Raw genomic sequence first — 25,912 nt, forward strand, 5'->3', positions numbered from 1 at the left:
GGCTGGAGTGCAGGGGCACCATCATGGCTCACTGCAAGCTCCACCTCCCGAGCTTGAGCAATCCGCCCACGTAGCTGGGTCTACAGGCATTACACAGGTGCATGCCACCATCACCTGCTAATTTTTGTATTTTTTTGTTGAGAGGGGGTCTCACCATGTTGCGCAGGCTGGTCTCAAACTCATAGGCTCAAACGTTCCCCCCACCTCGTCCTCCCAAAGTGCTGGAATTACAGGTGTGAACCACTGCACCCGGCCTCTCTTTCTTATTTTCTAATATTTCAATGCAGAAGCCCCTTAACACTACTTATAGACAGTTGTACAACTTGACATGTTACTTCTCAGGCACTTAGCCTCTTGAAGTATCCGTTTATCTAATTCCACCTAAGCCTGTGGTGATTTTGTACAAAACTGTGCTAAAACACCTTGCATGAAAAATACTCAGATCATGGTTTTTCAATTATGAATTGGATTGGGGCCTGTTTGCTAAAGATAACGAGAATGGAATCTTGGGAACACTAAACACTTAGGTCCAAATAAAACAAGCCCTCCCTACTATCCCCTCCAACCACATACTTGAGAATCTGCACATCAGCATTACAGATTTTATCTGTGCTCCTCAGGAAACTATCACCACGCTTCCCAAGAGATGAGGCGGGTCCCCCTCCCTATTCTGTCTTGTTTGGGGAAAGTGGAGACAAGAGTGGCATGGCTATTATTTTGTTGCCATATAAGGAAGCATTCTTTTTATTAATAAGCATCACTTTAGGAATAAAAAAAAATGCAATTTAGCCTTGTAGAAACATGTCAAGATTTATTCATTCATTCACTCAACAAATATTTGTCCAACTTCTATAGGTATGAGGCACTGTGCTAGATGCTGGGGATATAGCAGTGAACAAAATAGACAAGGTCTCTAAGAGATTACATTCTAATGAGACTCTTAACAGAAAAGGGTCCTTGTGGATCGTTCAGACCCTTATTATCTCGTCAGGACTGTAACACTATCCTTCTAGTTATTTTTCTACTCTCTCCTGGTCAACCTTGGCAACACATTCAGTTAGATTTTTTTAATAATTGCATAATTTAAAATATGTATTAATATAATACATTTATATAATACAAAACAAATAATTCAGAATCGAAAGTCATATAATAAAAAACCACAGGCCGGGCATGATGGCTCATGCTTGTAATCCCAGCACTTTGGGAGGCCAAGATGGGCGGATCACCTGAGGTCAGGAGTTCGAGACCAACCTGGACACCATGGTGAAACCCCATCTCTACTAAAAATACAAAATTAGCCAGGCATGGTGGCAGGCGCCTGTAATCCCAGCTACTTGGGAGGCTGAGGCAGGAGAATCGCTTGAACCCGGGAGGCAGAGGTTGCAGTGAGCTGAGATCGAGCCATTGCACCCCAGCCTGGGTGACAAGAGTGAAACTCCGTTTCAAAAAAAAAAAAAAAAAGAAAAACAACAGTCCCCCTACCCACCCTTTACCACACCCTAGTTCTGCTCCACAAAAGCAGCCACTTAAATACTTCTAGCTGTTTCTTAATCGTAATTATGGCCACATTCCTTTACAGTATGATTTTATTGCTGTTTCTAGATTCATCCATTTCAGACACCATCTATTGATTTCTTGTTATGCTAGAAGAGCACTAGAGAGATGAAGATCTACCAATTTTACACTATATAGTTGTACTGTGTTGTAAAATAAAACAAGTGTATTTACACTATTACAACTATGTTAACAACACTTATTGTGGAGCCATCAAGCAATATACTATGCTTATTTTTATTTTCTTTTCTGTTGCCTAGGCTGGAGTGCGGTGTCACAATCTCGGCTCACTGCAACCTCTGCCTCCTGAGTTCAAGCAATTCTCCTGCCTCAGCATCCCAGGTAGCTGGGGTTACAGGCACATGCCACCACGCCCGGCTAATTGTTTTTGTATTTTTAGTAGAGACGGGGTTTCACCATGTTGGCCAAGCTGGTCTCGAACTCCTGACCTCGTGATCTGCCTGCCTCGGCCTCTTTTCTTGTCACATATATTTTTTTCCTGGAACCTCTAATTACCTTTAGTTTTGTTTTGTTTATCTATCATTCACTTATCGTAAATTCTTTATAGCTTCTCCATATTCTATCGAGTCCCCCTTTGCTTCTTCAGACATGACTTTTCTTTTTTCCTTTTCTTTTTTTGAGACGGAGTCTCGCTCTGTCGCTCAAGATGGAGTGCAGTGGCACGATCTCGGCTCACTGCAACTTCTGCCTCCCAGGTCCAAGCGATTCTCCTGCCTCAGCCTCCCGAGCAGCTGGTATTACGTGTGCATGCCACCACGCCTGGCTAATTTTTGTATTTTTAGTAGAGACGGGGTTTCACCATGTTGGTCAGGCTGGTCTCAAACTCCTGACCTTGTGATCAGCCCCCCTCGGCCTCCCAAAGTGCTGGGATTACAGGTGTGAGCCACCTTGCCCGGCCCAGACATGACCTTTCTAGGGCCTAGCATCTTCCTATGCCAATCTCGACTACTTGCTCTCTAGGTCTGTTGCACATGCACACTTGCCATCCTGATCCTGTCCCATGCCACTCTCCAAGGTTGGATCCAGTTTCCTGAACCCCAACTGTTCTCTAGACTTGTTTTATTCCCTTGTTTTGCTACAACATATCCTCCAGTAGTCTCTAAGTAGGATGCACAAGAGAGAAAGTTTCTGGTCTCTTGCATTTGTGAAAAAGGTCTTTAACCTCACACTTGATGAGTATTGTAGCTGGGAATGGAATTCTGGGTTGAAGATGATTTCTCTCACATTTTTATAGCATTGCTCAGTTATCTTGCAGCATCTAGCATTGCTCTTGAGAAGCTTGATACTGTTCGGATTCTCCTTTGTATGTTGTGTGACTGATTCTTTGGAGGGTTTTAAGATCTTCTCTCAATCCCTGTTGTGTTGGCATTTCAGCCTCTTCTGTGCCTGGTGTCTTCAAGTCATGAGCCTCTCAAATTCACGTGCTCAGATATCTCGTTTGAGGAGATGTATAGTGAGCACCATGTGATTCAGGGCGAGGGTGAGAGTGAAGGTAGGGTAGGGGATGAGGGTGTTGTCTAAAGCACAGCTCTGCTCATGTAACTCCTCTGCTCAGAAGCCTTCCTATTTATCTCTTGCCTAGTGAGATAAGTCCAAACTTTTTATGCCCTCTAGGATACGGCCTAACCTACCTGCACTGCTTTAGGGGGTTACTACACTTCAGTTATTACCTCCGGGCCAACTAGGGTACTTGACACTTCCTAAACACAATAGGTGCATCTCACTTCCATTGCTCTTCCTGTGCATTGCCACACCATCCTGCCCTAACCACCTCACGCAGCTGGAATTGCCTTTCTCATTGACCTGTACCTGTCAAAGTCCCGCTACCCTCCAAAGCCCCAAAAGGTACTTCCTCCATTAAGAATTGACTTTATTCTCATCATAACTTTTGGTGCCTCCTTGGGCTCAGTCTTGGCTTTCTTCCATGTGTTCTAGTTATTGATACACAGAACCGTACTATAAACTCTGAGACAGTAGTGATATAAAATTTTGTTTTGGCTCCAATGGCACCTAGCACAGTGCATGGCATATAGTAGGTACTCTACCAATGCCTGTGAAATAAATACATCTTACATTTCTGTAAGTGTGGAAGAATACCATCACATTTTAACAGCTTTATTGAGATATCATTCAAATACCGGACAATTCACCCATTTAAAAGGTACAGTTAGGCCAGGAGTGGCGGCTCATGCCTGACACCCTGAACTTTGGGAGGCCAAGGTGGGGAATCACTTGAGCCCAGGAGATCAAGACTATCCTGGGCAACATAGTGAGACTCCATCTCTACAAAAATCAACAAAATTAGCCAGGCATGGTGGTACACACCTGTGGTGGCCCCAGCTACAAGGGAGGCTGAGGTGGGAGGATTGCTTGAGCTGAGGAGTTTGAAGCTGCAGTGAATTATGATCATGCTACTGTACTCCAATCTGGGTGACAGAGTGAGACTCCTCAATAAATAAATAAATAAATAACATACAGTTCAATGGTTTTTAGTATTCATAGAATTGTGCAACCATCACCAAAATCAATTTTGAACATTTCCATCACCCCAAAAGAAACTCTGTAGCCATTAGTAGGCATTCCCTATTTCCTACCAACTCTCTAGCCCTAGGTAAACAATAATCTATCTTCTGTATCTACAAATTAGCTTACCTAGTTATTTCACATAAATGGAACCATAAATATGTAAGTTTTTAACGACTGGCTTCTTTCGCTTAGCATAATGTTTTCAAGGTTCACCCATGTTGTAGCTTGTATCAGTACTTCATTCCTTTTGCACTTGGAGATCCAGGTATCCCAGAATTTGTTGAAGAGGCTATTCTTTCTTTCCGCATTGAATGGACTTGGCATCCATGTTGAAATCAGTTGATCATAGACTTATTGGTTCATTTTTTGACTCTTAATTCTATTCCATTGTTCTATATGTCTATCCTTATTCCAATAGCACACTGTTTTGATTACTGTAGCTTTGTGGTAAGTTTTGATATTTGGAAGTATGAGTTCTCCAACTTCATTTTTCTTTTTCAATATTGTTTTGGCCATTCAGGGCCCCTCGTAATTCCAAATGAATTTGAGGATTGGCTTTGCCATTTCTGCAAAAACTGCTATTGGAATTTTGATAGGGATTGTATTAAATTATGAATCAGCTTGGGGAATATTGGCATCTTAACAATATTAAATCTTTTGCACCATGAACATGGAACATGTTTCCATTTATTTAGGTCTTCTTTAGTTTCTTTGCATGATGTTTTGTACTTTTCAGAATAGAAGTTTTGCATCTCTTTTGTTAAATTTATTTCTAAGTAATTTACTCTTTTTGATACTATTGTAAACTGAAGTGTTTTCTTAATTTTATTTTCAGATTGTTACTATAACATTTTGAATAAGATACAAAAAATCACCATGATCAATCAAAGTTTAAAATCAAAGGTTGTTAATATATATTTTTAGGTTGTTGTTTCAGGGCTTCCTGTGTTTTACAATGTCCAGCACAGTAACAAGGCTTTAAAAAATTATCACATTAGTATGTTTTGGTAATGTGGAAACAATTGACCTCACTAATGGATTTAAGATTATCATAAAAATTCTAAGCCAATACTATCATATCTGAGAAAAGTTAATGTGAAACTGTTTACTTTGGTTGTTCCAGAAACCTGTCTTCTAATAGTTAAAGTATTTAATATGCTCCTTGGGTGACTGGCTATTTCCATAATTATAGTTCTTTCTCTAAAAAACGTGGAAAATTCTTGGGTGTTGGCATTAAATGTCTTGTTTTCTTTAATGAACTGAAAATCAGATCCAATCAGATTAAAATTTTCTCAAGGACCAAGATCTGGACTCTGCAGTTAATGTTCTGGATGAGTTTTGTTTTTTGCAGTAGACATAAATTCACACCAACTCCTCACCTAGAGAAGTCAGTCCCTCCGTTTCTCTATTTTTCCCTTAAGACATCACACTTAGCATAGTCCTCTCTCTTTGAATTGCTGGTTCTCCTTGCTTTATGCCTAATTAAATAATAAACAACTTTATCAAAATATCTAGTATGTTATTGGCCAGAAATCAAGTATACAGTGAACATTTATTTTACTTGAAACAATATTTTTTATCTTAAAAAAGGTTTTTATGCTAGTCAGGGTTTTAGAATGTTTACCCAGATGTTGTGTCAACTTTTAAAAAGAAATTTCATAGACGGGAGGCATTTGAGAAGTTGGAAAGGACCTTAGAAATCCAGCACAGGGGTCTGTGAGCCAAGTTCAGCCTGTAGGCATGTTTTACTTGGCCCTGGTGGTATTTTAAAACTATTTAAATTAGTTGCCAACATTTACAAGTCATAAAAATCTGGATTTCTGCCTTTTCTTGAAAAAGTGGGTAAACCTGGCCATCTCAGGGCTACACTGCAGCATGGCACATACTGGGTGCATATGCACTCCATCCAGTTTCTCAGGGTCCTCCTGTAGGCTCACTTCCATCAGTTGCATGACCTGCTGACCCTGGGGGAGGCCCCTTTGCATCTGTGACTCCTGAGCTAACGTAATCCCCTTCTGAGGTTTTGAGACTGAGGTTTGGAAAAATCATTACTGCCCAAAGCTAGTCAACAGCTAATCAGTTGTCAATTTCTTTTCTTTTCTTTTTTTAATATTTATTTATTTATTTATTTATTTATTTATTTATTTATTTATTATGTATTTATTTATTCATTCATTTATTCATTTATTTTGAGATAGGGTCTCACTCTGTTGCCCAGGCTGGAGTGCAGTGGTGCTGTTACAGCTCATTGCAGCCTCGACCTCCCCAGGCTCTGGTGATCCTCCCACTTCAGCCTCCTGAGTAGCTGGGACTACAGGCATGTGCCACTATGCCTGGCTAATTTGTGTGTGTGTGTGTGTGGCGAAAGGGTTTCGTTTCTCCCTGTTACCCAGGCTGGTTGCAAACTCCTGGGCTCAAGCCATCCATCTGCCTCAGCCTCTCAGTGCTGGGAATATAGGCATAAGCCACCTTGCCCGGCCTAGTTGTCAATTTCTTAATAATGCCAAGAGTATTATTTATAAAACAGATAAAGTTAGAGGAGGGCTAATTATTCTACATTTTCAAAGGACTTTCTTGCTTGAATGGCATCCCCATTGATGTAGTTAGGCTTTTAAAATATAATGAACTGACGGAGGATCCAGGGAAGAGCCACAGCAAATCAGAGTGATTATACCTAAAAACAATAAAATGTGTTCTGAATCATCATCGTTTCAATCTATCTCCCAGTTTATATCTGACCTCCTCTTTAAAATTTTCTTTCTTGTCTTTCTTTTGTTTCTCTCCTCTTCTTCCAAACCCTATGATTTATTTATGTATCTGGGTCACAACTAAGTTAGTCCTTAATCATCTGTTCATTCATTAAATATTTATTTCAACACTTACTAGCTGCCAGGTGCTGTTCTGGTCACTTGGGATAGCACAGTGAACAAAAGGGACAAAAATTCCTTGCGCCACTTACATGCTAGTGGGAGAATGAGATGATAAGTAAACAAAGAAGATCATTTCTGATAGTTATAGGCACTCCGAAGGTGTAAAAACAGGACAATGTGACAGCTGGGGTTGGGGTCTATGAAGCCAGCCATATCAAAGTGTGGGGAAGAGTGATGTAGGCTGAGAGGAAAACAAGCACAATGGCCCTGAAATGGAAACAAGCTTCGTGTGTTCAATGAAGGGACAGGCTAATTGGTAGGAGCTGAGATGGGGGAGGGGGGCAAGGGACAGGCATGCAGGGCCTTGCAGGCCATGGACATAGGTTTAGATTTTATTCCGCATTAGGAGCCCTTGGAGGGGTTTCCTTTATATTGGCCATGACTTATACAGTTGTCTCGCTCTTGATATCCATGGGAGATTGGTTCCAGGACCACTCACTGGTGAACACCAAAATCCACAGGTATAATCCCTGATAGAAAATGTTGCAGTATTCACATATCACCTATGCACATCCTGCCGTATACTTTAAATCATCTCTAGATTACTTATCACACTTATTACAATGCAAATGTTATGTAAAAGGTTATTATATTGCATTTTTAAATTTTGTATTTTTTTTGTTGTATTATTATCTTTTACTGTGAGGTTTTTAAAGAATTTTTCTGCCAGATGTGCTGGCTCACATCTGTAATCCCAGCACTTTGGGAGGCTGAGGCAGGCAGATTGCTTGAGCTCAGGACTTCGAAAGCAGCCTGGGCAACACAGGGAACCCCCCCCCTTACAAAAAATACAAAAATTAGCCAGGAGTGGTGGCACCTGCCTGTGGTCCCAGTTACTCACGAAGCTGAGGTGGGAGTGCAGCAGGAGAATAGGGTCTGGAGGCAGGAAACCTAGGGCTGTTTCACGCCAACTTCCTAGAACTAAATTGAAAAGAAAACCCTAACTTTCCATGCCTAAGTAACAAAAGGACCAGAAGTGACTCCCTTTGCAAACCCTCACCTTTTCCGCATGGGCAGAAGAGAAATTTAAAGTATCTCTGATTGGTTGCTTTTTGCAACCAATCAGACGTTTGTACAGGAATGTGACCTTTGTAACTTCACTTCTGATCACAGGCTTACATGAGGTGAGCACCAAGTGGCCAATGGGAAACCTCTAGGGGGTATTCGAACCCAAGAAGATTCTGTATCTGGACCCTTGAGCCACTGCTTGGCTGGCTCCCACACTGTGGAGTGTACTTCCATTTTCAATAAATCCCTACTTTCATTCTTTTGTTGCTTCATTTTTTCCTTGCTTTGCTGTGCGTTTTGTCCAATTCTTTGTTCAAAATGCCAAGAACCTGGACAACTTGTGGTCAAGACCCTCTACCACTAACAGGAGGATCACTTGAGTCTGGGTGGAGGTTGCAGTGAGCTAAGATCATGCCACTGCACTCCAGCCTGGGCGACAGAGCAAGACCCTGTCTTAAAAAAAAAAAAAAAAGAAAGAAATTTTCCATTCGTGGTTGGTTGAATCCACGGATGCAAAATCCACAGATATGGAGGGCTAACTGTGTTTCTTCTGAGTCTTCCGCAGCAGACTGCATAGTGCTAGGCATATAGGAGTAAGTAAATACACACTAATGCGTTGACTAGTTGATAATTGGGTCAGGGACCCTAAGCAATCCTCTGGAAGCAGACTGGCACTAGGAGGACCTGGAATGGCAAAGCTTAGGAATGCTTCATTTGCAAGAGACAGTTTCCTTAGGATAAAACAAGGGCAACGGAAGCAAGCACCAGGAGCTCTTTAGTGTTTCCATCTTACATGATGTCTTGAGAACTCTGTAACACCTCTGTGCAGAAGAGAGCAAGTCTTTGACTCAGTGACTCAAATGAGGAAGAAGTTGTCATTGGATGTCACTAGTGTCAACGGCGTCCATCCTCCTGAGTATACAAGATATAAACAGGTCTCCTCTGAGAGAAGCAGCAGTGAGCAGGTGAGGCCCCAGCATTTGGCTGTGGACAAGCCTATTGCCTGGCCCTCAGAGAACTGTGGGTTCTGGATGGGGTGTGTGTGTGTGTGCACACGTGCGTGTGCATGCATGTGTGCACACGTGCGTGTGCATGCATGTGTGCACACGTGCGTGTGCATGCATGTTTGTGCGTGTGCATGCATGTTTGCACGCGTGCATGTGCATGTGTGTGTGCACACCTCTGGAATCTGCTCAGACCTTTGAAACAGTTCAGCTGTTAAGGCAGAAACTTCCCAAGAGATGTCAGAGAAACCAGTGTGGATCATTATCTGATAATTACTAAATATTAGCTTGAGTGAAGGTTAAAGGGGTTCTGCCGAGAACTCCTCTAGGCTACAATCTCTCTTAGAGTTCTGAACCTTCCATTCACTGACCTATACAAAGTGGCAGGGAGAAGGGAATCTTGCTGATCTATGGGAAAAAAAATTGCCCCCAAATAATTATTATGTACCTCAATGGCAAGTTATGATCCAACATCTCTAAAACATGTACATACAGTGGGCCAGGCGCGGTGGCTCACGCCTGTAATTACCAGCACTTTGGGAGGCCGAGGTGGGTGGATCACCTGAGGTCAGGAGTTCGAGACCAGCCTAGCCAACATGGCAAAACTCCTTCTCTACTAAAAACACAAAAAAATAGCCAGGCATGGTGACGGGCGCCTGTAATCCCAGCTACTTGGGAGGCTGAAGCAGGAGAATTGTTTGAACCAGGGGGCGGAGATTGCAGTGAACTGAGATTGTGCCGTTGCACTCCAGCCTGGGCAACAGAGCAAGATTCTGTCTCAAAAAAAAAGAAAAGAAAAAAAAAAAAAAGAAAAAGGTATGCACAGTGAGGTCAGGAACACATACATGAAAATAAGTCTGTCTATTCTAGCATAATGTAGTAAGGGTGCCTGGGTTTAAATACTGGTAACTCCTTTTAAGAACTGGGTGACCTTTGGTAAGTTGCTTAACCCCCCTGACCACTTCAGTTTTCTCATGTATAAAATAGGATAATATAGTACCTCATTCATAAGGTTACTGTAATGATTGAGATCATACATGAAAACCAGTTAAAACACTGCCAGGCACATCAACAAATGCTAGTTATTGTTATTTATTTCTTTATTCCTGTCTTGTTTTAAAAATCACAGAATTAAGACTATTTACATTTGCATTGCATTTGTAGCAATTAACAGTGTGCTATTTGAGCTGAAAATTATTTTTGCAGGGGGACAGAAAAGAGACAGTGTTAGTAATTTCAGTCGCTGTCTTCTACTTCATGCTGTTTTCTTAACAAGCTTTATAGAGAAGCACTTCTTACGTGATTCCCAAATATAGGCCTAATCTCGACCAAGCACGACTCTCACTCCTAAATCATTCCAGTCTAGAAAACAAGTCACGAATTCATTTTCTTCCACTTTTGTTCAATTTTGCCAAACCCATTAATCAATGAAAAACATAAATCATCTAACTCTTCAGAATTCAACTGCTGTTAATACTCAGCCAACTCTAAGCATAACTTAATCCCGGGCTGAGAGGAGCTGTGCATATTTTTACCATAAGCCTATAGGGGACAAGTCTGAATGTGATAATCTAGACCAAGAAAATAATTACCATAGCATGATTTAACCCCAAAGAGATCAAAATAATTATAATATCATGATTTAACCCCAAAGAGAAAAAACTTCCAAAGCCTAAACTGGCTCTTCCTCAGTGGGTCTCTGGCCTCCCTCAGCTCCCATAGTTCTAAAAAAGGGAACATTAGCCTATGATGTGTATGATCTCATTTTGAAAAAAAAAAAAGTTTCATACTTATCAGTGAGTTTCACTTCTGAATTAACAGAAAATATGGTTATTACATTTAAATATTCTGAATATGTATATGTCTTTTATTTTGAGTTGCTTTTTCTATAATATTGTTTGTGCTTAAATTGTGAACAACTGAAATATTAATGGATGAAAAGGAATGTTTAATTAACTTACTTTTATCAGACACCAAGTCAACTTCTATATTTAGCAACTGAACTAATAGAGAAGGCTGCTGCAGAGTTAGTCAGCACATCAGCCTGTTAAATATCAAAGAGCAGAGGAGGCCTTTTGTCTCAGCATTGAACCAGAGACTGAAAATGCATTTAATTTTAGCATTTCCAGAGGAGGAAAAAAAGATATAAAACAAGATAATCAGGAAAAATGTCACGCACCGCCTAAGTACACGTTTGTCAAATGAAAAATGCCAGGAGGGTGGCAGCCTAAGTAAGAGGTCTGCCCGGAAACCAGAATTCATCCTCACAAGTGAATTCTTTAAAATAATTTACCGTTAAAACAGCCAAGGCTCCCATCTCTGCTAAAAGAGGTCCCAGGGAGTAGTAGAGTATTGAGTAGGTGGCGGGTTTTTTTTCCAGAAGCAGTTTCATGTGGTCTACTTTAGCATTTAAGGACTCAGAGGGTGTCATCAGTGCAATTGATGGGAAGGATTAGAAGAATGAAAGAAAAGCTTTCTTTTAAGAGTGAGCTTTTATTTTCTTAAGATTGTTTTATGTTGAGAATGTATATCCAGGTACAGGTGGCAGGGAGGAAGAAGTAGGCAAGATGGGTACCCTTCAAGATAGCCTAGCAATCCATATATATATATATATATTTTTTTTTTTTTTTTTGAGATGAGTCTCGCTCTGTCACCCAGGGTGGAGTGCTGTGGCATGAACTCTGCTCACTGCAACCTCTGCCTCCCGGGTTCAAGCCATTCTCATGCCTCAGTCTCCCGAGTAGCTGGGACTACAGGTGCATGCCACCACGCCTGGCTAATTTTTTTTTTTTTAGATGTAGTCTTGCTCTCTCGCCAGGCAGGAGTGTAATGGCGTGATCTCGGCTCACTGCAACCTCCACCGCCTGGGTTCAAGTGATTCCCCTGCCTTAGCCTCCCGAGTAGCTGGGACTACAGGCGTGTGCCACTACGCCCGGCTTTTTTTTTTTTTTTTTTTTTTGTATTTTAGTAGAGATGGGGTTTCACCATGTTGGCCAGGATGGTCTCCATCTCCTGACCTCATGATCTGCCCACCTTGGCCTCCCACAGTGCTGGGATTACAGGTGTGAGCCACCACACCTGGCTGCCTGGCTGATTTTTTTTTTTTTTTTTTTTTTGCATTTTTAGTAGAGATGGAGTTTCACCATGTTGGCCAGGCTGGTCTCGAACTCCTGACCTCAGGTGATCTGCCTGCCTCAGCCTCCCAAGGTGCTAGGATTACAGGCGGGAGCCACTGCGTCCAGCCTCAATCCTAATATATTTTAAAGGTTTTGTTGTATTATGAAGGTAAATTGCACATTATTAATAAACAAAGCATAAAGAGAAGGAAGCTTGAGCTTTGATCAGCCATGATAATATCTTTAATTTATTTTGGTATTCCAAGAAACTGTGCCAGTGCTTGCCACATAGTGAGTCCCAATAAATATGTGTTGAATAAATGACAAATAGTTTCACATCAAGAAGGTGAAGTGAGCATATGCCTAATTCTCCCCACATTATTTCAAACACATAGGAATGATCTAGAAGGTCTTGAAGATATTTAAAAGTACATAACCGTCAACTGTGAGAGGAAAACTGAAAATTGTCACAGTCCAGAACAGAGACAGAAACTAAGAGTGGAGAGCTAGGAGCAGTCTAGGATAGGGCTTCAAGTCCATGGGGGAAATTCCGCCAAACTTGCCCAGTATGTGGTAGGAGGCTGGCACCAGGATCTCTGTGTGAAAGCAAGGTTTACAGCTGTGCTTCCCACCTGGTCTGCCTCCCACTAGGATTGGACCAGAATCTCCTGCTTGTCTGAAGCAGCAGCTGAGGCAGAAAACTCAAGCTAACATAAGACCTATGCCTGGTTTGTGCCATCTGAGTGTGGGCATTGGAACTGCTACATCTTACAGGAAGAAGCCCTGATCTGAGCTTTTGCTAACTCAAGGAGCCAGGACTGGGAGAACCGAGAAACCACCTCCAAGGGGATGGGCATGCAAAAGAAAATTCCCATAGAAAATTAGGTCCCAAACAAAACGATAACATCTATGGGGAAGTTGGGCACCACAAAAAGTGGCCAGAGACCCAATATCTGAGGATATGAAAATAACGGAATAACCTAAAAAGGACTTTCAAGCAAGCATATTTAAAATCTCCAAATTTGGCCAGGCACAGAGGCTCATGCCTGTAATCCCAGCACTTTGGGAGACCGAGGTGGGTGGATCACCTGAGGTCAGGAGTTCGAGACCAGCCTGGACAACATGGTGAAACCCTGTCTCTACTAAAAATACAAACATTAGCTGGGCATGGTGGTGGGCGCCTGTAATCCCAGCTACTCGGGAGGCTGAGGCAGGAGAATTGCTTGAACCCAGGAGGCGGAGGTTGCAGTGAGCCGAGATCATGCCATTGCACTCCAGCCTAGGCGACAAGAGTGAAACTCAATCTCAATAAAAATAAAAATTAAAAAAAACCCTCCAAATTTTAAATTAAAATTCAATTTAATTTAATTTAAATCTTGTGTTTGCAAGTTGTGAAATACTATATATAGTATTCTACCTTTTGTATAAGAAAGTAGCTAATATCTGCAAAATATATTTTGCAGGAAGGATAAGCCAGACATTAAGGAAGTTGATGACCCAAAAGGAATGGGTGGGAATGGGATGTGAAAGAAAGCAATGGCACTTCTCTAAGTATATTTTTGTATATTTTGTCCTTTAATTATGTTAATATTTTACATATTCAAAAATAAAACTGAATATGAGAAAAAATGAAAATGCAATATAAACAAATAACTGCATATCACACTGAAGATGTAATTATGCAGTAGAATAAAAAGAATTCGTCCACTAACTTTTGACACAGCAATCTCATTGTGCACATTCAATAAGATATATTATATAGATAAAAATAATGGCAAAGCAACCTTGAACATGTTAGTGGTTTATTATTGATGTCAACACTGCTGCTGTAGCAATTTGAAGCCATTTTGTGTATCACTGGACTCAGCAAATGAGTAAATAGGCTGAAAAATGCATAAATACACTGGAAGTTGGGATTCTCACTGTGGGAAAGGGGAAATACAAGTTATGTTACAGGGGAGGGAGTGGAAGAACCATGTGATGTTGGACTGGAATATAGCTACTAGTATGAACTCAATTCTATTTATTTATTTATTTGTTTTGAGACTGAGTCTCACTGTGTCACCCAGGCTGGAGTGCAGTGGCATGATCTCTGCTCACTACAACCTCTGCTTCCTGGGTTCAAGCGATTCTCCTGCCTCAGCCTCCCGAGTAGCTGGAATTACAGGTGCATGCCACACGCCTCGCTAAATTTTGTATTTTTAGCAGAGATGGGGTTTTGCCATGTTGGCCAGGCTGGTCTCGAACTCCTGACCTCAAGTTATCTGCCTGGCTCACCCTCCCAAAGTGCTGGGATTACAACCGTGAGCCACCGTGCCCGGCCTCATGATTTTTTTTTTTTTTTTTTTTGAGGCAGAGTCTCGCTGTTTCACCCAGGCTGGAGTGCAATGGCACGATCTCGGCTCACTGCAACCTCTGCCTCCTGGGTTCAAGCGATTCTCCTGCCTCAGCCTCCTGAGTAGCTGGGATTACAGGCACGCACCACCACGCCCAGCTTTTTGTATTCTTTAGTAGAGACGGGGGTTTCACCATGTTGGTCATGTTAGGTTTGAACTCCTGACCTTGTGATCCACCCGACTCGGCCTCCCAAAGTGCTGGAATTACAGGCATGAGCCACCGCGCCTGGCCGGCCTCATGATTTTAAAATGTACTTCTGTCTAGTAAAAGGGCCTAGAATCAATGACATCCCAATGGCAGTGAGCACACAGCACCTAGTTCTTGTACAGTAGTCCTCCCTTATCTGTGGTTTCATTTTTTGTGGTGTCAGTTACCCACAGTCAACCACAGCCCAAAAATATTAAATGGAAAATTCCAGGAATAAACAAACCATAAGCTTTAAATTGTTCTGAGTAGCATGATGAAATCTTGCACAGTCCTGCTTTATCCCTCCCAGGACATGAATCATCCCTTTGTCCAGGATGTTCATGCTGTGGTTACTACCTGCCTGTGCCGGTTATCAGATTGAATGATATAGTTTGTACAGGGTTTGGTACTATCTGTGGTTTCAGGCATCCACTGGAAGTCTTGGAATGTAGCCCCTGAGGATAAGGGAATGTTACCCAAACACCAGGGGTTTGGTCTAGGTACTGCTGCTCACCACACAGAGAACCAATCACTGAGATGATGATTATTGCCAAGGAAGAAGGCTTTAATTGGGTGCTGCAGCTGAGGAAATGAGAGCTCAGTCTCAAATCCATCTCCCAGACCAACAAAAACTAGGGGTTTATACAGCAGGCAAGAAATGTAACAATGAGTAAGAAAACAGAAACTAGGGAGGGGCCAGGAAGCAATCATGATGAATAAGGGGTCCGACATCTCATTGTCTCCAGGTGGTGATGTGGTGAGTTTCAGTTCTTTGATACTTTTTTTTGACAGAGTCTCATTCTGCTACCCAGGCTGGAGTGCAATGGCAGTATCATAGCTCACTGCAGCCTCCACCTCCCAGGCTCAAATTATCCTCCCACCTCAGCCCCCATGGGTAGCTGGGACTACAGGCGTGCATCACCACACCTAGCTTATTGTATTTTAAATAGAAACACGGTTTTTTTTAAGTTTTTCTTTTATTATTATACTTTATGTTTTACGGTACATGTGCACATTGTGCAGGTTAGTTACATATGTATACATGTGCCATGCTGGTGCACTGCACCCACTAACTCGTCATCTAGCATTAGGTATATCTCCCAATGCTATCCCTCCGCCCTCCCCCCACCCCACAACAGTCCCCAGAGTGTGATGTTCCCCTTCCTGTGTCCATGTGATCTCATTGTTCAATTCCCACCTATGAGTGAGAATATGCGGAGAAACACGGTTTTGCTAGGTTGCCCAGGCTGTCTTAAATTCCTCGACTCAAGTGATCTGCCTACCTGGGCCTCCCAAAGTTGATCCTTTTTTTTTTTTTTTTTTTTTTTTGAGAGGCCCGACAGCCCTTTCCTGAGGAAAGAACTCAGATAAACAAATACAAATTTCAAGCTTGGCTGGGCGTGGTGGCTCATGCCTGTAATCTCAGCACTTTGGGAGGTCAAGGTGGGTGGATCACCCGAGGTCAGGAGTTCGAGACCAGCCTGGGCAACATGGTGAAATCCTGTCTCTACTAAAAATACAAAATTAGCTGGGCACAGTGGCAGGTGTCTGTAGTCCCAGCTACTCAGGATGCTGAGGCAGGAGAATCACTCGAACCCGGGAGGCAGAAGTTGCAGTGAGCCAAGATCACGCCACTGCATTCCAGCCTGGGCAAGAAGAGTGAAGCTCTGTCTAAAAAAAAAAAAAGTTTCAAGCTTTGAGACCAGAAGTGTCTGTCAATTTCTCTGTTTATGAAAAAAAAAAAAAGTATCTATGGGGCTATTGGGTTGGTTTCAGGGGGACTACTATATTCTGAATACCACCTGCCTCAGGTGGGGGTCTCTGGAAACAGAAGCTGTGATGGAGTATAAAGTACAAGATGTTTACTAGAGATCAACCAATGTATACCTATGGAAGGACCGAAGGAAGCAGGACTGAGAAGAGAAAGATGAACTGTGTTGCGGACCTCAACCAACCCAGCAGGGCGCTCTGGTACAAGTATTTTGTCCCAATAGAGTGTCCCAAATGGGGCTGAAAAGCCAGGCCTTTTACTTCTGTCTCAATCACTAGACGTAGGTGGCCCCGGAAGGGCATGCACCTAAGTGAAAGTGTTTTGCAGCTGAGGCAGACATTGAAGGAGCAGACAGCTGGAGGCTGCCCGCTGACCACACTCCCGATAGATAGGCAGCAAGCCCTTTCTACTTAAAATTTAATTTAATTTAATTTTATTGTTGTTGTTGTTTAGAGATGGAGTCTCACTAGGTCATCCAGACTGGAGTGCAGTGGCACAATCCTATTTCACTGCAGGCATGACCTCCAGGACTCAAGTGATCCTCCCACCTCAGCTTCCCAAGTGGTTGGGACAATAGGCGTGTACCACCATGCTCAGCTTCAAATTCTTTCTTAAGATGATCTGGGTGGCACATGTTCATGTCTAAAACACTGTTCCCACTCAAAGGAACTAGATCTCCTTAGAGAAGTGGCTGATTCCATGTCCAGGGCAAGGGAAGAACAAAGTGCGTCTGGAACATCTGGTAATGTGAGGAAGCAAGGAATACTCGAAAATCGATAAGACTCATGTTAAAAAGATACAGGAGGCTGAGTGTGGTGGCTCACGCCTATAATCCCAGCACTTTGGGAGACCAAGACAGGTGGATCACTTGAGGCCAGGAGTTCGAGACCAGCCTGGCCAACATAGTGAAACCCTGTCTCTACTAAAAATACAAAAATTAGCCAGGCGTGGTGGCACCCACGTGTAATCCCAGCTACTCTGGAGGCACAAGAATTACTTGAAACAGGGAGGCAGAGGTTGCAGTGAGCCAAGATCGTGCCACTGCTCTCCAGCCTGGGCAACAGAGTGAGACCCTGTCTCAAAAAATAAATAAAATAAATAAGTAAATAAACAAACAAATAAAGATACAGGAGCCAGCTAGAAGGGGCTCCCACTAGCCAAATTTGGGACAATTTGAGCATCAAAATGAATAAGGACAGGAATGGATTGTAACATACTGAATAAAAAATTCGGCCAGGCATGGTGGCTCACACCTGTAATTCCAGCACTTTGGGAGGCTGAGGTGGGCGGATCACAAGGTCAGGAGTTCGAGACCAGCCTGGCCAATATGGTGAAACCCTGTCTCTACTAAAAATACAAAAATTAGCCAGGCGTGGTGGCATGTGCCTGTAGTCCCAGCTATTTGGGAGGCTGAGGCTGAAGAATCGCTTCAATCCAGGAGGCGGAGGTTGCAGTGAGCCGAGATTGTGCCACTGCACTCCAGCCTGGGTAACAGAGCGAAACTCTGTCTCAAAAAAAAAAAAGAAAAAAAGAAAAAAAATAATTCATGGGTCCATACTGATACTGTAGAAAAAAGTTCAAAAAAGGATAGGGGAGAAGAAAAAGATCTTTTCTTTTTCTTTTTTTTTTTTTCAGGCCAGATGGGTAAGATGCCAACGTCATAACAAGGTTCAAGGGTGGCACATCTCACACATGTGCATGAACACCCAATCTTCATGCTCATGAACTACAAAAAGATTGAAAAAGCTCTTCTTTATAGGAGAAATCCAACTAATAAATGTAGGATAAATGACAAAAATAGAAAAGCATTATTTTATAACCACCATAGTTAACTGATTCAAGCAAAAATCATCAATGAATGCTGAAACTATCAGGTGAAAACATACTGAGAAATAGAATATTTACACCCTCTCAAAATGTTGTTGAAATGGGAAAAGTTCCCTTATCCCTCTCACAGAGCGTGCGATGGAGGTGTGGCTCGCTTCTTCGGTGCCTCACTGCTCAAACTTCTAGGAGAGCATGCAGATGGGCAGGTTGTGGGGCTCCGACCCCACGGCAGTGGCTAGGAGCGAATGTTCACAGCTCCTGAAGCCCCAGTGGGCGTGTATTACAGGATGCTCTTTTAGTTTGCCATCTATAGGCGACCTGTGCTAGCTCAATTAGACCCCCTTCTTTATCATAAGGACAGAGGGATTTCTGTATCCTGGGGTTTCTTGCCTTGGTGTACCAGAAGAACCGGATCACAAGTGAGCTTGGAGAATGAATGCAAGGTTTTATTGAGTGGAAGTAGCTCTCAGCAGATGGGGGAGCCAGAAGGGAGAAAGTTTTCCCCTGGAGTCAAGCTGCTCAGTGGCCTGGGTTCTCCTCCAACCACCCTGACCAAACTCTATGTCATTCCGCCAGTTGAAGGCCTGCCGGCGTGCCAGCATCTGTCTTGTGCTCTTCCACTGGCGTGCTCCCCTCGACATCCTCTCAACGTCCAGTCACTTGTGTCTTCTTCTGCCAACGTGTTCCTTTCAAAGTCCAGCCACTTGTGTGCCTGCCTGTTAGGGTCTCGGGGTTTTATAGGCACAGGATGGGGGTGTGGCAGGCCAGGGGGGTCTTGGGAAACGCAATATTTAGGCAGGAAAACAGATATGCCAGTCCTCACCTAGGTCTGTGGACACAGGCCTGGGGGTGGAGCCCTAGCCAGGGACCACGCCCTTCCCTTCCCAGCACTTCCCTGCCCCCCTTCCATATCATTACTTCACAGATTACCTATTAATTCTAAGGCTAAAGGAAACTCTTACAATGGAGAAGTCTGATAGAAGCCACCTGAACTCAGTGATCAAACCTCACATTAACAATAATGGGACAAGGTGGCATTATGTGCCCTCTGATGTGGTGCACTAAGAAATATACAACATCACTTCTGTTGTATTCCTGCCAAAAATGGGAACGGTCACAAATCCAAATTGAGGGACATTCTGGGTGAAAACAAACAAACAAAAAAACTAACCTGAGCTCTTCAAAATGTCAATATCACAAGAACCACCTCACCCCAAAAAAACAGCTTGGAAATATTCTAGATCAAAGAAGGCTAAAGAGACTTGACAATAGTGTGATGTTTGGTTCTTTTTTTTTTTTTTCACTGATGCCTCAAATTCCTAGTTCAAGGGAACCTCCTGCCTCAGCCTTCTGAGTAGCTAGGACCACAGGTGTGCACCACCACATCCAGCTAATTTTTAAAATTTTTGTAGAGATGAGTTTTTGTCATGTTGACCAGGCTGGTCTCAAACTTTTGGGCTCAAGCGATCCTCACGTCTTAGCCTCCCAAAGTGCTGCGATTACAGGCATGAGTCACTGTGCCTGGCCAATCCTTGATTACATTTTGGATTTTAAAATGCTATGAAGTATATTATTGGAACAACTGTGAAAATTTGATTTCAGATGTAAATTTGATATTATATCAATGTTAAATTTTCCAAGTATGATTATTATACTATGGTTATGTAGGCATATGCCTTTGTTTTTAAGAGATACATGAAGTATTTAGGGATGAAGTGTCGTATCATCCAGAACTACAACTATCAAATAGCTCATCAATAGATAGGTATCGACATACACACAAATAAAGCAAATGTGAAAAATATCAACAATTGATGAATGTAGGTAAAGGGTATATAGGTTTTTATTATGCTATTCTTGCAATGTTTCTGAAGGTTTGAAATATTTCAAAATAAAAGTTGACAAAAAACAAAAGTGCAAACAAAAACAATTTTCCAGAGATTAAAAAATATAAAATAGAATACATAAAACAATAATAATGATTATTAAACAGGAGCCTGCAATAAGAAATCCATTGGAAAGAAAGAAAAAAGTTGGATAAAGAATAGAAAATACAGCAAAATCAACAAAAGTTGTTTCTTTGAAAATATCAACAAAATTGACAATCCTTCAGTTACGACGACCAGAAAAAAAAAAATTGAGGACTCAAATTACTAAAATCAGAAATAAAAGAAGAAAGTGTATTATTACTGACCTTACAGAAATTAAAAGAATTATATGTGCTGGGCACAGTGCCTCACACCTTTAATCCCAGCACTTTGGGAGGCTGAGGCAGGAAGATCGCCTGAGGCCAGGAATTTGAGACCAGTCTGGGCAACATAGTGAGACCCTGTCTCTACAAAATATTAAAAAGTTAGCCAAGTGTGGTGGTGAGTGCCTGTAGTCCCAGCTATTTGGGAGGGTGAGGCAGGAGGATCGCTTGGGCCCAGGAAGTCAAGGCTGCAAAGTGAGCCGTGATGGTGCCACTACACTCCAGCCTGGGTGACTGACAGAGACTGTCTTAAAACAAAAGAAAGCCAAAAAAACCAAACTGGAACTAAAATCGCGGAGAACAAAAACATTAGAGTTGGGGGTGGGGTGGGAGAAATTACCTTGTTTGGGAGAAGGATGGAGATAGTGATTACATTTGGAGTGTATGATATAAATAGAATGCATGACTTCTAAAATGACTGGGGTGACAGGGAGAAGAGATGAATAAAGAATAAAGCTGGGCATAGTGGCTCACGCCTGTAATCCCAGAACTTTGGGAGGTGAGTGGGGTGGATCACTTGAGGTCAGTTGTTCGAGACCAGCCTGGCCAACAGGGCAAAACCCCATCTCTACAAAAATACAATAATTAGCTGGGCATGGTGGTGCACGCCTGTAATCCCAGCTACTTGGGAGGCTGAGGCAGGAGGATCATTTGAGCCTGGGAGGTGGAGGCTGCAGTGAGCTAAAATCGTGCCACTGCACTCTAGCCTGGGCAACGGCACAAAGCCTAGTCTCAAACAAACAAACAAACAACAACAACAACAACAAAAAACCCCAAAAGAATAAAGCCAGAAGATTGAGTCAAACAGACAAACAAAAGTTGCAGAATGATATAGACTAATGGTACCACTAATGTACACTAAATATAAAATCATGAAACAAAACCAACTCAGAATAGTGGTTGACTCAGGAGAAAGAAGGGGATAGGACTGGAGACAGTAGACAATATTAAATATTTTATCTGCAATATTCAATTCTTTTATTTTCCAAAAGAGAAACAAAGTAAAAACAACACAATAACAAAACAACAACAACAAAAAACTTCTTATTGACCAAGTCTGAAAAAAAATAAAAAACAGAGAGACAAAAGTAAATATAAACTCTTAATAGTTATGGATTCTGGGTAGTGGGAGCATGAGTTTTATATTATTTTTTGTACTTTGCTTTTTAAGAAATGTCTGGGCCAGGCACGGTGGCTCACATCTGTAATCCCAGCACTTTGGGAGGCTGAGGGGGGCGGATTGCCTGAGGTCAGGAGTTCGTGACCAGCTTGGCCAACATGGTGAAACGCTGTCTCTACTAAAAATATAAAAATTAGCCGGGCGTGGTGTCAGGCGCCTGTAATCCCCCCTACTCGGGAGGCTGAGGCAGGAGAATCGCTTGAACCTGGGAGGCGAAGGTTGCAGTGAGCCGAGATCACGCCACTGCACTCTAGCCTGGGCAACAGAGCAAGATTTCATTTCAAAAAAAAAAAATGTCTGAAAGCCTAAAAAATAGATGGGGAAGTGTGCTGATTAGATTTACAGTCCACATTTATTAATTTCATATGTAATCTTGGCCTAATCATATAACCTTTTTTTTCTTTTTCTAAAGACTGTAAAAAAGCTAAAGATAGGCCGGATGTGGTGGCTCACGCCTGTAATCCCAGCACTGTGGGAGGCTGAGGCAGGCGGATCACGAGGTCAGGAGATCAAGACTATCCTGCCTAACACGGTGAAACCCTGTCTCTACTAAAAATACAAAAAATTAGCCAGGCGTGGTGGCAGGCTCATGTAGTATCAGCTACTTGGGAGGCTGAGACAGGAGAATGGCATGAACCCGGGAGGCGGAGCTTGTAGTGAGCTGAGATCATGCCACCGCACTCCAGCCTGGGCGACAGAGAACGAGACTCCGTCTCAAAAAAAAATAGCTAAAGATAATCCATCGTACTTGTGTAAAAATGGGAATGTCAAGATGGAAAGGTGGAGAAACAATCTAACGTTTCCTGAACACCTACTATCTGTCTGATGTTGTGCTAGGTTCATTACATGTGGTATGTAATTTAATTTCATTCTCACAATAATCCTGTTACTTAGATAATACTAGACCTGAATTGCAGATGTAGAAACTGAGATAAGGTAAATTAAGTCATACTGGGGTACACATAACACGGGGGATACATGAAGAATTTCCAGGAGTCCGTGGGCACAGTCAGTTGTGAAGAAATCAATTTTTAGACCCTTAACTTTTAAAAAATGATCTGCCTGAGAAAGCTGTGTCTGAGGCAGGTGGATTCTCCTTTTCCTCCTCCTTTTTCTCAACAGCCCTTCTCCCATTTTACAAAAGAAAGACAACCCCTTTCTCCATCACTAATCTGACTTTGATGTATTGCCGCAGGGGATATAAACCTCCCCGTGCCAAACAAAGGGAGAAGCCAAAATAAGGGTGTTGTTGTGGAAAGATGAGTGAACCTGAACGCTGCATAACAAGACCTTTTGCAACACAGGTGGTTTCCAATTCTTTGTCTTCAAAAAAACTTCTGAAGGATCTAATGGAATTGTCAACCAATAAATCATTAAAATTAATTTTTGACAATAGATTCAGGATGGGATGGGATTTCAGTTACATAACTCAGAAGAAATACAAAGGTTTGTATGGCAACACTGTGAGAAACGTCCTTCTACTTATTTATGTAAACAAAGCTTCTTAGCCTTAATATTTTTAAAACATGTAAAAAGTCAAAATAACATTGATACAGAGCCCTGTCTCATTCTAACCATAAACAATATTTATCCACAAATGGCATGAACTAATTAAAAAAGACTTCATCCATGTCTAAGAACTACATTTCCAAAAAAGTTTACATTGTGCATTTAAATTATTTTTCAAATCTTGTTAAATATTTAAGTTATTTTGATTAATTGTGTACTAAAGATAACTCTATCCAGAAAACTTTTTTATATTCCACCCCGTAGAAAACTTTTTTTTTTTTTTGTGAGATGGAGTTTCACTTTTGTTGCCCAGGCTGGAGTGCAATGGCATGATCTCAGCTCACTGCAACCTCCGCCTCCCAGGTTCAAGTGATTCTCCTGCCTCAGCCTCCCTAGTAGCTGGGATTATAGGCATGTGCCACCACGCCCGGCTAATTTTGTATTTTTAGTAGAGATGGTGTTTCTCCATGTTGGTCAGGCTGGTCTCGAACTCCTGACCTCAGGTGATCCGCCCACCTCGGCCTCCCAAAGTGCTGAGATTACAGGCGTGAGCCACCGCGCCTGGCCTAGAAAACTTTTAACACGTAGAACTTTATGGTAAAAGAATTTTAAAAATGTAATTTATGTACATATTTGCATTGCAGAGATGTATATAGAGTGATGAAAAACAGACTTACACGTGTAAAATATATTACATTAGTACAAAATTCTGTGAAAGAAGTGAAGGAGATATGACTTAAAGAAGAAAAAAGGAGCAATGTAAAATTTCCAACTGTTAATGAAGTTAATCATGTATAATATTTAAATGGCTAATGGTGGGTATGAAACAACTACTCTATTTAAATTTAATTGGATAGAATAAAAAAGTGATGTAATCATTTTAGAATGTCAGTATATACTATATGCCCCAAATAACTTCGTTTTGTAACTATTTAAACATTGGATGAAAAAGTTTAGATACCAGCTTGTAACGTGAATGGTAAGGTAAGTAAAATGTCTCACTCACTATTGTGTACCTAGTGCACCAAGCACAGGGCCTTTCTTATATTAGACAACCACATAAATTATTTCTAAACTGAATGGCGTGGGGGCACACAGGTTTTCAAAATTATTTTAGGGAGCATGTGAACAAAAATGTTTGAACACACCTGAGTTTATAACTTACCCTGGGCCACACCACCAACCAAGGCCAAGCTTAGACTTGAACCCATGTTTGCAAGATTCCAAGACTCCAAGACTCATGGTGCTTAGACTATACCTGAGGGAGATAAAGGATGCTATGAATGTTGGTCTTAATTATTAACTCCATTCTGCTTAGAAATAATTTATTTGGTTGTCTAATATGAGCAAGGCCCTGTGCTTGGTGCCACTAGGTATTAGGTTGGTGCAAAAGTAATTGCGGTTTTAATACGCAATAGTGAGTAAGCATTTTACTTACCCTCAAGAAGCTGAAAACTTTACATGAGAGATAAGCTGCCTTCATAAAATCTTTAATATAAGATTAAGTGTAATAAGGGCAAGAGACATTTATGATACGTACTACAGAAAAAGAGAGAGAAGAGAGGCATGGTGGTGCATGCCTCTGGTCCCAGCTATTCAGGAGGCTGAGGTGGGAGGATCACTTGAGCCTGGGAGGCTGAAGTTGCAGCGAGCCGAGATCGCGCCACTGAACTCCAACTGGGTGACAGAGTGAGACCCCGTCTCAAAAAAAAAAAAAAAAAAAAAAAAAGCAAAGAAAAGAAAAAGAGAGAGAGAGAGACAGAAGGGTTTGAGCAGGTTCCAACATCAGATAGACAGATCTTTGTAAAACAGGTAAAATTTGGACTGTGGTAGAAATGGGTGAAAGAAGGTAGAGAGAATTCATTCACCCATCCCTCCATTCACCCAAGAACCATTAATCAGAGACATAGCAACCAAATGTAATAAATGGGCCTTTAAAATTCGTGGCTGGCACAATGAGATGTCTCCTCACCCCAGTTAGAATGGCTATTATCAAAAGGACAAAAATAACAAATTCTGGGAAGGATGTAGGGAAAACTGAACTATTGTAGATGGTTGGTGGGAATGTAAATTAGTACAACTATTATGGAAAACGGTATAGAAGTTCCTCAAAAAGCTAAAAATAGAACTAGCCTATAATCCAGAAATCCCACTACTGGGTATATATCCAAAGGAAACAAAATCAATATGTCAAAGAGAAATGTGCACTCCCAAGTTTTATTGCACTATTCACAACAGCCACAATATGGAGTCAACCCGTGTCCATCAACAGATGAATGGATAAGGAAAATGTGATACACACACACACACACGCACACACACACACTGGAGTACTATTCAGCCATAAAACAAAAGAATGAAACCCTGTCATTCACAGCAACATTATGAGCTTGGAGGACATTATGTTAAGTGAAATAAGCCAAGAACAGAAAGACAAATACTGCATATTCTGACTCATATGTGGAAGTTAAAAACGTTAATCTCATGTAAGTACAGAGTAGAATAGTGGTTACTAGAGCCTGGGAAGGGTAAGGGGAAAGGTAGTAGTGATAAGATGGTTAATGCAAACAATGTTACAGCTAGATGGAAGGAATAAGTTCTGGTGTTGTATGGCACTGTAGGGTGACTA

At 41.8% G+C, this 25,912-nt stretch overlaps 1 non-coding gene across 1 annotated transcript; it reads right to left on the reverse strand.

Annotated features, from left to right (window-relative positions):
* Positions 1-18,150: 18,150 nt before the first annotated feature.
* Positions 18,151-18,254, reverse strand: LOC124905271 (small nucleolar RNA U13). The gene has a single exon (XR_007068435.1). It is a non-coding gene; the product is annotated as a small nucleolar RNA U13 (small nucleolar RNA).
* Positions 18,255-25,912: the final 7,658 nt, after the last annotated feature.

This window comes from Homo sapiens, chromosome X, assembly GCF_000001405.40.
Source record: "Homo sapiens chromosome X, GRCh38.p14 Primary Assembly".
In the NCBI taxonomy this organism is placed as follows: Eukaryota; Metazoa; Chordata; class Mammalia; order Primates; family Hominidae; genus Homo; species Homo sapiens.